This window comes from Homo sapiens, chromosome 10, assembly GCF_000001405.40.
Source record: "Homo sapiens chromosome 10, GRCh38.p14 Primary Assembly".
Lineage (NCBI taxonomy): Eukaryota > Metazoa > Chordata > Mammalia > Primates > Hominidae > Homo > Homo sapiens.
In genome coordinates this window covers 14,402,411-14,416,772 of record NC_000010.11, presented here as the reverse complement: position 1 = coordinate 14,416,772, position 14,362 = coordinate 14,402,411, and positions in this window count along the sequence as shown.

Below are 14,362 nucleotides of genomic sequence, written 5' to 3'. Positions count from 1 at the left end.
GTTTATGGGCAGCTGGATGGTCAATAACATTGACCATTCATAAATCAAATAATTAAGTCCGATGAAGCCTAGACAAGGTAGGCTGACCATTGCATATAAAGTAACTTCCTAGGGGTACCTCGATGGGTACAATTTATTTTGCTAGACTCCAAGTCTGGGGTTTAGCTTGTAGCGGTAGCTTTGAGATCTGGGAATGCGTAGTAATACACACATCACAGCCTGTAACTGGGTATTTGTCTCGATTCCCCACTAGAGAGAAAAGGTCACATGTAGCGAGTTGCTCTTTCCCCAGGGGCATTCCTGTCTCTGAACCTGCCAGGACTCAGACAAGAAAGCTGACTCCAACGTACACGCCTCACATTCCTACAGTGTTAGCTGTTTCAATGAGGAGACTTTGTTACTGGAAAGGGGTCCCAATCCAGACCCCAAGAGAGGGTTCTTGGATCTTATACAAGAAGGAACTCAGGGCAAGTTGATAGAATAAAGTGAAAGCAAGTTTATTAAGAAAGTAGAGAAATAAAAGAATGGGTACTCCATAGAGCAGCCCTGAGGGCTGCTGGTTGCCCATTTTTATGGTTATTTTTTAATATGCTAAACAAGGGGTGGATTATTCATGCCTCCCCTTTTTTAGGCCACATAGGGTAACTTCCTGACGTTGTCATGGCATTTGTAAACTGGCATAGCACTGGTGGGAGCATAGTGGTGAGGATGAACAGAGGTCACTCTTGTCACCATCTTGGTTTTGGTGGGTTTTAGCCGGCTTCCTCACTGCAAACTGTTTGATCAGCAAGGTCTTTATGACCTGTATCTTGTGCTGACCTCCTATCTTATCCTGTGACTTAGAATGCCTTAAACACCTGGGAATGCAGCCCAGTAGGTTTCAGGCTTATTTTATCCAGCTCCTATTCAAAATGCAGTTGCTGTGGTTCAAATACCTCTGACGTCCTCACTGGCTATTTCCTCTAGGGAAGAACTGGAAGGTTTTCAGAGCCCTTTTCTCACTTTCTCTCCATGGCTATATCAAGGGCAGGAAATCTGGGAAACAAAAGAACCCCCAATTAACTCAGTGCCTCCTTTAGCTTTTAGAAATCGTAATAACAGTGCTATTATTGGCTGGGCATGGTGGCTCACGCCTATAATTCCAGCACTTTGGGAGGCTGAGGTGGGCAGATCACGAGGTGAAGAGATCGAGACCATCCTGGTCAACATGGTGAAACCCCGTCTCTACTAAAAATACAAAAATTAACTGGGCGTTTAACTGGGTATGGTGACGTGCAGCTGTAGTCCCAGCTACTTGGGAAGCTGAGGCAGGAGAATTGCTTGAACCTGAGAGGGGGAGGTGGCAGTGAGCTGAGATCATGCCACTGCACTCCAGCCTGGTGACAGAGTGAGACTCCTTCTCAAAACAAACAAGCAAACAAAAAACAAAAAAATGCTGTTATTTACCATGCATGGAGCACCTGTGATGTACCGAATTTTACACTATAATCCTTACACACATTGACTTGGAGCCTTAAAGCACCCTTGCAGGCCAGGGACTGTGCTCATTTTACAGATGTACTAGGCTTGCTATATAAAGCAATAAGGCTGTGGTTCAAACTTGGACCAGATTGCCCTAACAGATTTCAGGATGGATGAGTAAGCCTAAGGCCGCATAATTCTGAGGTTAGAGTTATCCAGCTTCACTGTAACACGTATTTCTAGGGTTTAAACCTGAGCTGGGAGGGTGAGGAGAGGATGTTGAGGATATGAGGACATAGGTTCACAGACCTTTGTGATCCCAAGAGGACAATGACTATTACTCATATAACATTTGTAGGGCATATCGATCATTTTTCTAGGCTCTTATGTGCATAATTGTGCAGCTGATCTTCCCTGTGACCCTATGAGATGGGTACAGTAGGTCCTCATTTAACATTCTTGGTAGATTCTTTGAAACAGTGACTTTAAGTGAAACGGTGTATAGCTGGTCCTGGAATAATGCTGTCTCCTTCAACGTTGGTTTGTTGATAGAGGAAAGAAATTGGTTTCATTATACATCGTTTTGCTTAAAGTTGCAGTTTCCAAGAACCTACTGAAGACATTAACTGAGAATCTGCTGTGCTGTTACGACCTCCAGTGCAGAGTCTTAGGTGGGCAGCAGCTTCCATAGCGTCCCAATCTGTTTCCTAGCTTTATTGAGGTATAATCGACAAATAAAAATTGTATATATTCAAGATGTACAATGTGATGATTTGATATACATATACACTGTGAAATGATTACCACAAACCAGCTAATTAACTTATCCATCACCTAACATAGTCTTCCTCCCTCCCTCCCTCCCTCCCTCCCTCCCTCTCTCTCTCCTTTCCCTCCTTCCCTCCCTCCCTCCCTCCCTTCCTTCCTTCCTGCCTCTCTCTCTCTTTTTCTCATTCTCTTCTCTTTTTTTTCTTTTTCATTCTTTCAATTTTTAATTTTTATTTTTGTGGGTACATAGTAGGTATATATGTTTATGAGGTATATAAGATACGTTGATACAGGCATACAATGTGTAATAATCACGTCAGTGTAAATGGGGAATCTGTCCCCTCAAGCAATAACCTTTGTGTTACAAGCAATCCAGTTATAGTCTTTTAGTTATTTAAAAATGCACAAATTATTATTGACTATAGTCACCCTGTTGTGCTATCAAGTACCAGATCTTCCTGCCTTCCTTCCCTCCCTTTCTTCTTTCTTTCTTTCTGGAACATTTAAGATCTGCTCTTTGAACAAATCTCAAGTATACAGCGCCGTATTATGAACCATAGTCAGCATACTGTACCTTAGGTATCCAAAACTTCTTCCTCTTAGAACTGAAACGTTGTGTCCTTTGACCAACATCTCCCCATTTTCCAACTCCTCGGCTACTGGTAACCACCAATCTGCTCTCTTCTTCTACAAGTTTCACTTCTTAAAATTCCACATGTAAGTGAGGTCATGCAGTATTTGTCTTTCTGTGCCTGGCTTATCTCACTCAGCATAATGTCCTCCAGGGCCATCCATGTTGTTGCAAATGAGAGGATTTCCTTCTGTTTAAAGGCTGAATAATATTGTGTGTGTGTGTGCACGCGCATCAACTGACGCTTAGCTCTTTCCACGTCTTGGCTGTTGTGAGCAGAGTTGCACATAGTGCTCTAAATCTTCATGTTACAGCTGAAACTCACAGAAATCTGACAGCAGTAAAGTCAACAGCTTTTTCAGTTCATTGTCACTATAAAATTTGATTTGTGGTGATACTTTTGGGTCAATGTGTACATTGTCTAATAAAATCTAAGACAACTGTCTCATCATATACTCCTTTTGTTAATATTTGTTTTAATTACAATGATGATTTTTAAACAATGAAATTACTTTTTAAAAAATTTCTAACTAAAAGCTTCTCAATGGAAAGGCAAGGATTCTCAGATATCTTCATTCTTTGAGTAAATCAGGTCATTTAGGAGAAATCTGAAGGAAACCATTACATCTCAGCTCCCTGCTTGACACCTGAATTGCTGAAAAGAGAGAATCATTGTCGTAACACAACACAGGCCTTTAATTGTAGCAAACAAGAAGGCCCTCCAAAAACTCTTAACTAAAAATCACGATTGTATTTCTGAGTTACACGATAACACACCTACTGGATTTCTGAAGATTAAGTAGCTCTTAGCAGGTCATCTGTCAATAGTTGTAACAATGATGTTAGTAGTTTACATAAAATAGTATATAGTTTAGAATAGAACAGTGATTAAAAAATCACAAATTTATCCAAAAAATAAGATAAAAACTATAAGAATTATTTCCAGTTTTCTTACTATTCAAGTAACATTGGTTTCTATAGAAAAAAATTAGAAAAATTCAAGTAAACAAGAATATGGAATTGTCCATAGTGCTGTGACTCAGACAGACTCATGGGTGGTGGTTGTTTTTCATGGTTTTATTTCCAAGGACATCTGTGTTTTTCTGACACCGATTAGTGACTGTGTGATTCTGCTTCGTGTAACTGACTTTTACTATTGCTAGTCAGGAGGCTGTCCTGATTTATAGTCACTTCTAACAGTCTTCCTGCTGAAGGTGGGATGGTTGTAACATTTTTGGCCAAATGGTGGGAAAAGAAATGAGAATAATACAATGCATTGGGACTTCTCATTTACCAACTATACATAAGAATAATACAATGCACTGGGATTTACCAATCTAAATCAGTGAGGGATAAGCTGTTCCATGTAAAGTTACACCACAAGTCAAGGGCAAAGCTGGGGTAAAGCCCAAGATTGAGACTTTCCATTTTCAATTGTTCTGATTTGTAATTTGGACAACTCCGCCCTCCTGGTGGATGCCAGAAATTTTGGCAATGACATCTTCCCCAACTTGGTGTGATCTTTGTCTTCATCTCAAGCAGCCACTTTCTTGTTCCTTGTCACAGGTCCTCAGATGAATGGGTTTTCTGCCTGGGCACCTCTCCTCTAAGTCTCTGGTGATATAAGCAAAGAGTTCTAGGTGAAGTGGTAACTAGTGTTTTTATCTTCACTTTTAGCATCCATTTAAGCTTAATTCTCATAGTAACAAGTGCAGGAGGTAGGGGCCATTGGAGGAGGCAAGAACTAAAGAGGCTAACAAAGAAGAGAGTCACCCATTGCACGTCAGATAGATTGAAGGCCACAGTCAGGGTGAGTGGGGGGCTGACCAGCATTCACAGGGGTGATGAGAGGGCAGAAATCTAGGAAATGACTGACACCCTGAAACAGAAGGATCAAGAAGCCAAATCAGAGTTACTGAGCTCCAGGAAATTCAGGTCAAGGCATTTCTTCCATTTAGTTTAATAATTTAAAAATAGTAGTAGGGTGTTGGTTTTTATTGAACTATTTCTTCTATTTAACTTAGATACGCCAAAGACGGTCTATTATCATCTCCCCCATCAATTAGCATTTATAATGAACAAATCTAAATTTCCTGTGACTTCCTATAGTCTTCAAGCTTGTCCTCTACAAAGTAGATATATTCAGTAGTAAATATTCTTATTTTATAATAGTGTGTGGAAACAGGCTCCACTTTAGAATTCAACGAGGCTATGTCAAGAGTGAAAAATATGTTTTCAGTTAAGTTTATAAAAAAAGGAGTCTTTGGTCAAATGATTGTTAAAATATAAATAAGTATTGGAATGAAAAAAAAATCCACAGAGGGTTATAAACTGTACTGAGTTGGCAATGATGCTAGTAATAATTTTGTTGGCCAGGAAAAAATTATAGCATTTCCCATGCCATCCACGGGCTAATATCACAATTTATGGACCATGTAAAATGTTTTATTTAAACTCCTGGGAAATTTCAAAACTATATGTACCAGGATACTACTTGAGAAAATAAAGAATCTTGTGTTTTAACTCTATGAGATGGTATAAAAATTATTTATGTGTGGGAGTTCACAGCTCCTCAATTCCCTTTGTCTTGGCATCGTCTCCAACCCTGCTTTCTTGGAAGAAAAAAGGAATACACTACATGATTAGATTCTTATAAAAATACAAATATACGTTTCTTGGAGGTAGAGAGAGTTGAGGCAATGTGCTAAGGTGTATGTAGTGTGTTGCATGGAGAAGCAAAGGAACTGGGGGCAGAGATGCAATCAGGATGGAGTGGATGAGGCATTTGATTCGAGCAATAGAGTGAACAAGTCCCAGGAGATTGAGAGATGGAGGGACCAGAGAAATAGAAAGGAGAGGATATCTTTTTTTTTTTTTTTTTTTTTTGAGACAGATTCTTGCTCTGTCACCCAGGCTGGAGTGCAGTGGAGCTATCTCGGCTTACTGCAACCTCCGCCTCCCGGGTTCAAGTGATTCTCCAGCCTCAGCCTCCTGAGTAGCCAGGATTACAGGCGTGTGCCACCACACCCAGATAATTTTGTGTGTGCTTGTGTGTATTTAGTAGATACAGGGTTTCACCATGTTGGCCAGGCTGGTCTTGAACTCCTGAACTCAGGTGATCCACCTGCCTCAGCCTCCCAGAGTGCTGAGAGGAGATCTTAATACCGGTAGCATGAACTTAGTTTCTGACCTGCCTTAAACATTTGAGTGAGAAGCTGTGATTGAAGTTTCCATCTGGATTGTTGTTCTTTTGCTGTGACCCTGATCCACAACCACACCGTGAGGCTCAGGGTTATATAAGGATTGTAAAAGCAATGTGTGGGAGACTAGCTCCACCCTGAGCTAAACCCATGTTGGAGGAAAAAAACCTGTTTGTTCCATGCTTTACATATGTTATCTTCGCTGATCCTCGTAACACCTATATAAGGCGACTGCTGTTTAATCCCATTGACAGCCAAGGAAACTGATACTTCGATGGTTGCACAGTTGACCATGTGCTGACAGCTAGTATCCCATATCCAATATCAAAAGCCAGGCTCGCCTATGTTCTGAGCCCTTTCCCTTTTCCCCTTTCCTCTCTTTCTTTTCCTTTCCTTTCTTCTTTCCTTTCTTTTCTTTTATTTTCTCTTTCTCTTTCCCTCCCTTCCTCCTTTCCGTCCTCCCCTTCCTCCCTTTCTGGCTTTCTTTTCCTTTCTCTTCTGTTCTCTTCTCTTCTTTGCAAAAGAGTTGAACAGACACTTCACCAAAGAAGATATACAGATGGCAAACAAGCACATGAAAAGACATGCAACATCATTCATCACTGGTAAGATGCAAATTAAAACCACAGTGTGATACCACTACAAACTCCCCTTCCTCCCCCACTTCCTTCCTTCCTTCCTCCCCCACTTCCTTCCTCCCACTCTTTCTTTCTTTCTTTCTTTCTCCTTTCTTTCTTTCTCTCTTTTTTCTTTCTTTCTTTGTTTCTTTCTTTCTTTCTCTTTCTTTCTCTCTCTGTTTCTTTTTTTCTCTCTGTTTCTCTTTCTTTCTTTCTCTCTTTATCTTTTTCTTTCTCTCCTTCTCCCTCTCCCTCTAACTTCTTTTCCTTTTTCTTTCCTCAGATGGATCCTCACTGTGTCACCCAGTCTAGAGTGCAGTAGCAAGATCTTAGCTCACTCCAACCTCTGCCTCTCGGGTTCAAGCGACTCTCCTGCCTCAGCCTCCTGAAGTACCTGGGATTACAGGCATGCACCACCACACCTGGCTAATTTTTGTATTTTTAGTAGAGAATGAGGTTTCACCACATTGGCCAGGCTGTTCTCGAACTCATGACTTCAAGTGATTCACCTGCCTCAGCTTCTCAAAGTGCTGGGATTACAGGTGTGAGCCACTGCTTTCCTTGCTTCCTAAAAACCCTTTCGGTTTCGTGTCAATTTCTTTGTTCATTCAATCTGGGGGCCCGATGACAAGTTTTTTCCTTGTGCCCCAGTGATATTAGTAGAAAAAGTGAGTAATGGAATGCCAGTCAGATGGCTTTGCTGACTGACTTCTTTGACCTCACACAGCTTAAGATCTCTGTCTCAGACCTTCCTAAGTGAAAAAAGAAATCAAAATGTGGTTTGCCTCACAGATAATTTTGAAGATTGGCAAGTCAAGGCTGCTATAAAACCCCTTTGGAAGCTGAGCACAGTGGTTCACACCTATAGTCCCAGCACTTTGGGAAGCTGAAGCAGGAGGATCACTTGAGCCCAGGGGTTCAAGACCAGCCTGGGCAACGTAGTGAGACCTCTTATCTACAGAAAATTAAAAAAATAAAAAATTAGCTGGTCCTGGTGGCATGCACTGTAATCCCAGCTACTTGGGAGACTAAGGTGGGAAGATTACATGAGCCCAGGAATTTGAGACTGCAGTGAGCTATGATCATGCCACTGCACTCCAGTCTGGCCAACAGAGCAAGACCCCATCTCTTAAAACATAAAAACCACAAAACCCCACTCAAGAATCAGCAAGAATCAGTGTCCTTCCCCTGGTCATACTGTACCATGGTCTTCCAGTTCCTGTTGCAAATGAATTCCTTGGCAAATCACGAATTGATGGGAACTCTGGTTCCCTGGCTGAGGCAGAGCTCAGAATCTGAGTTGCACTTTGGCTGGGTAAGAACTGAGGTGAGACGAGCTGGAGTCAGAAATTCTCTCCTAGATGCCTACTCCACAGACAAAGTTCTTTGAGTGAGCACTGTGATGTGTGGACTAGAGTGTCAGGCCCTGTCGAATAAACCCTATCCAAACAGAGATGCAGGAATTGATGGGGCTCCACAGGGACAGCTCTCACATCACACATACAAGTAACCCTTTGCTAGCTTCCTCTGCCTGGGATAAATGGCAATGGCAGTCATATGGATTTAAAGTCTAGGCCTCTAATCAAATACATTCAGAATGAACTGTCTTTCCCATATTGATTTCAGAATAAACACACATCCAGCATCAAGAGCCTCCCTGTAATTCTGGGAGGGTGGTTATTGCTTTGATGCCAGGAATTATTCAAAATTCATCTTAAGAATAAGAGAAGTGAAACTATTTGATAATGGTAAGGACACCAGATCTTGTTTTGTCTTTGTGGTCAGGCAGCATTGCGATGGTAGATTGCCTAGCTTTCCTGCAGCCATCTGAGACCAAGAAACTCAGAAATCAGGTCACTGTTACAGAAAAGGGGTCCCGATCCAGACCCCAAGAGAGGGTTCTTGGATCTTGTACAAGAAAAAAATTTAAGGTGAGTCCATAAAGTGAAAGCAAGTTTATTAGGAAAGTAAGGGATTAGAGAGTGGCTACTCCATAGACAGAGCAGCCCCAGGGGCTGCTGGTTGCTCATTTTTATGGTTCTTTCTGGATTATATGGTAAACAACTGGTGGATTATTCATGCCTCCCCTTTTTAGACCATATAGGGTAACTTCTGACGTTGCCATGGCATCTGTAAACTGTCTTGGTGCCGGTGGGAGTGTAGCAGGGAGGACAACCAGAGATCACTCTCATCGCCATCTTGGTTTTGGTGGATTTGGACCGGCTTCTTTACTGCAACCTATTTGATCAGCAAGGTCTTTATGACCTGTATCTTGTGCCGACCGCCTATCTCCTCCTGTAACTTAGAATGCCTTAACTGTCTGGGAATGCAGCCCAATAGGTTTCAGCCTCATTTTGCTCAGCTCCTATTCAAGATGCGGTTGCTCTGGTTCACATGCCTCTGATAACCATCGAGAGAGTAAATAGCAATTTGGAAGAAGCTCCCTTGCTTTTTTTGTTGATCAGATCCAAAGGAAAGGACAGATTGCCTTGGTGTTTTTTTGCTGTGTGGTAGCATAAGCAAACAGGAGAGACAAGACGCTGGCATTCTGGCAAAATAAAATAATACAACACACAATCCTGGTGAGACCCCAGGCAGTGAGTGGGCAGTCCTGGGCATTTTGTCCTCATATGACAAGAAATTCACTTCAATCAGGCCCTTTCTTCAAGGCTCTGGAAGCTCTCTTTACAAGGATCATTCCTTTCCTAGGCAAACAACCTTTAATCCGTCCTCAGGCTGACTTCCTGTCAGACCCTAGAGTAAAAGAACATTGACAGTAAGTCCAATATCTCCTTAGATTCCCGCTTGATTGAAGCATTTAGATGTATTTCGTTTGCTATCGTTGTTGTGCTGTTATTTTTAAGCCGGAATTCTTATCCGTCTTTACATCATCTAATTTGGGCACCCACCCATGAGACAAGGAGCAGAGACAGAAATCAATGCTGGCTGTGGATTTCTAAATCGATTCATGGAATCCAAGAATCCCCATGTACTCTGAGAAGTGTGCATCGCCTGGATAACATGACTTAGCCACGTATGAAATGTTTGTGGATTTGATTGTCATGAATAAGATACAAATTTGTTTATAAACATCATTAAATTCATAGTAGCCTCTTGCCTTATTCAATGTGGACTGAAGGTGTAGTGATTATCATGATACTGTTTTGAAAAGCACAGAGGAGGCCAGGCGCGGTGGCTCATGTCTGTAATCCTAGCACTTTGGGAGGCCGAGACAGGTGGATCACATGAGGTCAGGAGTTCAAGACCAGCCTGGCCAACATGGCAGAAACCCTGTCTCTACTAAAAATAAAAAAATTAGCCAGGCATGGTGGTGGGCACCTGTAATCCCAACTACTTGGGAGGCTGAGGCAGGAGAATCACTTGAACCTGGGAGGCAGAGGTTGCAGTGAGCTAAGATCGTGTCATTGCACTCCAGCCTGGGCAACAGAGCGAGACTCCGTCTCAAAGAAAAATAAAAAATAAGAGAAAAGAAAAAGCACAAAGGGATTTTAATATTGGAAAAGGATGGAAATAGAGCAGAATGAGCCTCAGAAAAGCACGTTCCTCTCTAGAGACTCCATCCCTTTATCTGGTTCCTGGGAGAAGAACCTGTCCCCTTACAGAAACCAACAATGATAGAATGTGGAATCGAATGGCTTGGGCATGAATTTCAGCCCTGTTCCCCCTTCCTAGCTCTGTAAGGCCTCTTCTGGCCAGAGTCCATGGCCTCTGTTTACCTCAGTGTTCTCATCTGTGATGTGGGGACAATAACTAGGCTATTCAAGGTGTTTACCATAAAGCTTGGAAGGCAGTTTGTATCCAACAAACAATATCTTGTTGTGTTTTAGAAAATAATAAAACAGCTACTGAGGAGGCTGAGGCATGAGAATCACTTGAACCCTGGAAGTGGGGGTTGCAGTGAGCCAAGATTGTGCCACTGCACTCTGGCCTGGGTGACAAAGTGAGACTCTGCCTCAAAACAACAACAACAACAGGAGAAGCCAAAGGCTTCCAGGTAGACCAACCTGGCAGTGTGAGGTGACTGACCAAGAGTAGCCGCACCAAGCACCCAGGCTGTAGGCTCCCTCAGGCTGCCTGCCTGTGTCCCTCAACCTTGACAGCAGGTTCTGGCAGACAACCTGGCATCTCTTACAGTCCATTAAGACAACAGACGCAAACACACTCAGGAGCCAACTGCTGAAATCAGGTTAATTTCAGCTGCCTCCTGCTCCCATCCTCTCCCCAACCCGTGCCAGCCAACTCGACCCAGAACTCTGCAAGGTTAGGTCATGGTAAAACTCCCACTAATGGACATTTCTCAGCAGGGAATGTGCTGAATAAATGCAAAACTGGGTGGCTGTTGAGTTTCTGTTTAGAAAAGAAATTGCTAGCCTATCATTGGGAGATGGAAGTGGGATAGAGCATGGAGAACAGGAGACAAATGAGCAGAATTGGAGTCGGGTGAATAGGAAAATGTCTTCGACTTGATCTGTGTTCATTTCCTAGAAGATCCAATTGTTTCAGGAACAGTGGACTTAATTGGGTTATGTGATTGGACTTTTTTATGAAACAATAAGGTTGATTTGCATTTTGCCGTTGCGATGGTAGTGCCCATCTACGTGGAGAAACGGGAAGACAGTGCCAGGCTGTGCAAGCACCCGCCAGACTACCGCAGTTCGGTTTTAGATCATTTGTCTTTATTTTTTTTCCCCGCATTCCATTCTGCTTTCTTATTTACCCAAATTTGTACTTAGCATGGAGAATATTTGCTGTTAGGCTTTCTCTTGTGATTCACAGTCAAATGATCTGAAGTTACATTTCAGGAAGATGAAAGAATTTGAAGGCTGCTATTTCCGTGATAACGTTGGCTTGGCTCCTGGGGAAAATGCCTTTCTGTTAGCGTGAGAACGAGGGTGATGAGCTTTCCCTCTCCCACCATTACATTCCTGATGACTGTGTTTCTCCAATGGGCATGTCCTCTCCCCATGCTCTTCCTGGACCTCACTGGCACCCTTACATCTTCTCTCCCATCTTTTCCCCAGCACCCAGTTCACTGCACCTGGATAAATGCTCACATGCACCTGCTCTAGGCTGGGCATGGGACGGAGTGTTGGGTGTATGAGACAAATAAGCCTGATCCCTGACCATAAAGAGTTCATAGTAGAGGGACTTGCCTGCCTCCAGAGGGAAAGGGCATAGGAGTAGGATAATTCTAAGCAAATGCACTTTAGTTTGCAGTTCTTACCTAGGATGTACCTTAGGCTCATTTGATTTCATGGATGAATGCAAAATATGAACAGAAGCTCAGTTAACTGGGCATTTTTAGGAGTGATGGTTCCAGTGGCACTGCTACCTATGGTTAAAGAGACCAAGCTTTGGAATTAGACAGGCCTTGGCTCTGCCCTGCATCGCTGTGCAATCTTGAAAAAGGTACTTCACCTCTCTGAGCATCAATTTCTGTATATGCCAAAATGAATTAATAACAGTGACTTCATAGGACTGTTAAATGAGATACTGTAAGAAGTGTCTGGCAATATGGCTAGCACATAGTAGGTACTTAATAAATGATAACGACTATAATTTTCTAGTGATTTGTCTGTGGATACGTTCATGAACATCTGTGTGAAGGGTAGGACTGCGGTCTTGGTAGGAGAAGACAGTTGGCATGGGTGACACATAAGCTGAGTGAGGGTGCCCAGGAATCAAGGTGGGTGTGAGGACATTGAGGACCCTGACAACATCTTTGCTTTGGCAGCAACTGGGCTTTCTATTATGGAAAGGAAATGTCATGTTTATCCAGCCAGATAACCAGGCTGCTACCATCAGAGAGCTTTTAAACGGAGCTTTGCAAATGTGTTCTGTGCAGCCTGCGGTAATGAGATTCATGCTTCTTCAGTGGTAATCCTCCACTAGACAGCATTTTAAATCTTTTTCCTATTTGGTGCACGGAACTGAGGTCCCGGATATACATATTTCCAAGTGTCATTTTTAATTTAATGCATGGTTGCACACATTACCACTGGCACAGCTAAATAGTTAAACTGGAATCCATCAATTTGTCCTGAACTGTTGACATGTAGGGTAACACTATGGTTAAATTAAATTTAGATATAAGAACGAGAGGCAGCTTGGTTCCCTGGCAGCCCTGAGGCCTGCTTTGTCAGTGAGGCCTGGCTGCAGGAGGAAGAGGACATTTTAAAATATGAGGCACATTCCTCACCACCCCTCAGTATGGCTCTGGGAATCTGCTGATTCTGTTGCATTTCTGGTTATTTTCCCTGACTGAATGGCAAAGCAGACCAGGTGTCTAGATTCTGGCAGGAGAGCGCTGTGCGAATGTAAAAGAAAGCCACCATTAATAGGAATAACCTGGTTTGCAAATCATGGCAGTCTAGAGCTAGGACAGATTTGAGAGACCCCAGAATGACAGAACTGGGGAGATGAGCCAGAGCTTCAGTCCAGCTCAGAGAGGTCAGGCAACCCGCCCAAGGACATCTGGAACTAGCATCAGGGCCTCAGGCTCAGAGCGGGTGCTTACTCTTCTGCGCTCAACTGTGCCTTATGCGAAGACGTGGCTGAGTGGTACCTGCTGCTCGTTTCTGTGAGAGCCTGGGAAAGTGATAAAACCTCTCCTAGCTCAGTTTGCTTGTTTGCAAAATGGAGATAATAGCAGTAATGGTCTCTTAGGGTTGTCAGGAGGATTAATGAGTTACTAGATGTGAAATGATTAGGACTCTACCTGGCACTTGGTAAGAGCTCAGTACACCTAAACTATTCTTGTTGTTGTACTAATAAAAATTACCTATTTTTATTATTGACCCAATGTTTGCTCAGAATTGTTTATCCAGGAATAGAGACACTCAGAGATTTCCTAGGTCCTTAATGGTGGTTTCTTGCAGGCAATGGCATGCAGTTCTAAGAGAGCCAGGGTATTTATCTTTTAGGCCTGTTGTAACAAATTACCCCCAAATTGGTGGGTTTAAACAATAGATATTTATTCTTGCACAGTTTGGGAGGCAAAAAGTCCAAAGTCAAGGTGTCACCTGGGCCATGGCCCCTCCAAAGAGTCAAGAGGAGGATGGTTCTTTGCCTCCTCCAGCTTCTTGTCTTATTCCCTCATCAGCCCACCCTCTGTCCCCATCTCCATGTGACCTTCCCCACTTCTCCATGTGTCTCTCCCCTGTGTCTCTCTTGTGAGGACACTTATCATTGGATTTAGGACCCACCCAGATAACGCAGGATCTCATCTCTGATCTCCTCCTGAGGTCCTTAACTTAGTTATATCTGCAAAGATGTTTTTTTCCAAATGAGGTCACATTCACAGTTCTAAGACATGGACAAATCTTTCTCGGGGCCACCGTTTAACACATCTCAGCTGGCCATTATGGAGATGAGAGGTGGGTATTGGAAATGGAACAAAAGTAGAAGGAATTAAAGCCATCGATTTGGCTTTGGTTGAACTTTTTCCTAAGCTGCCCTATTCTCTGGTACGTAGAGGGGCACAAGTGGTAGAAAGAGATAAATGAGACTAGAAAGAGTTATCATTCAACGGATCAAAAAGAAACATGGATTGTGACTGGTAAAGAAGGTAGACCCTCATTCATTCATTCTCCATTCATTCATTCATTCATTCAACAAACACTGATCGAGAGCCTGTGGTGTCCCTGGTGCTACCATATACTACA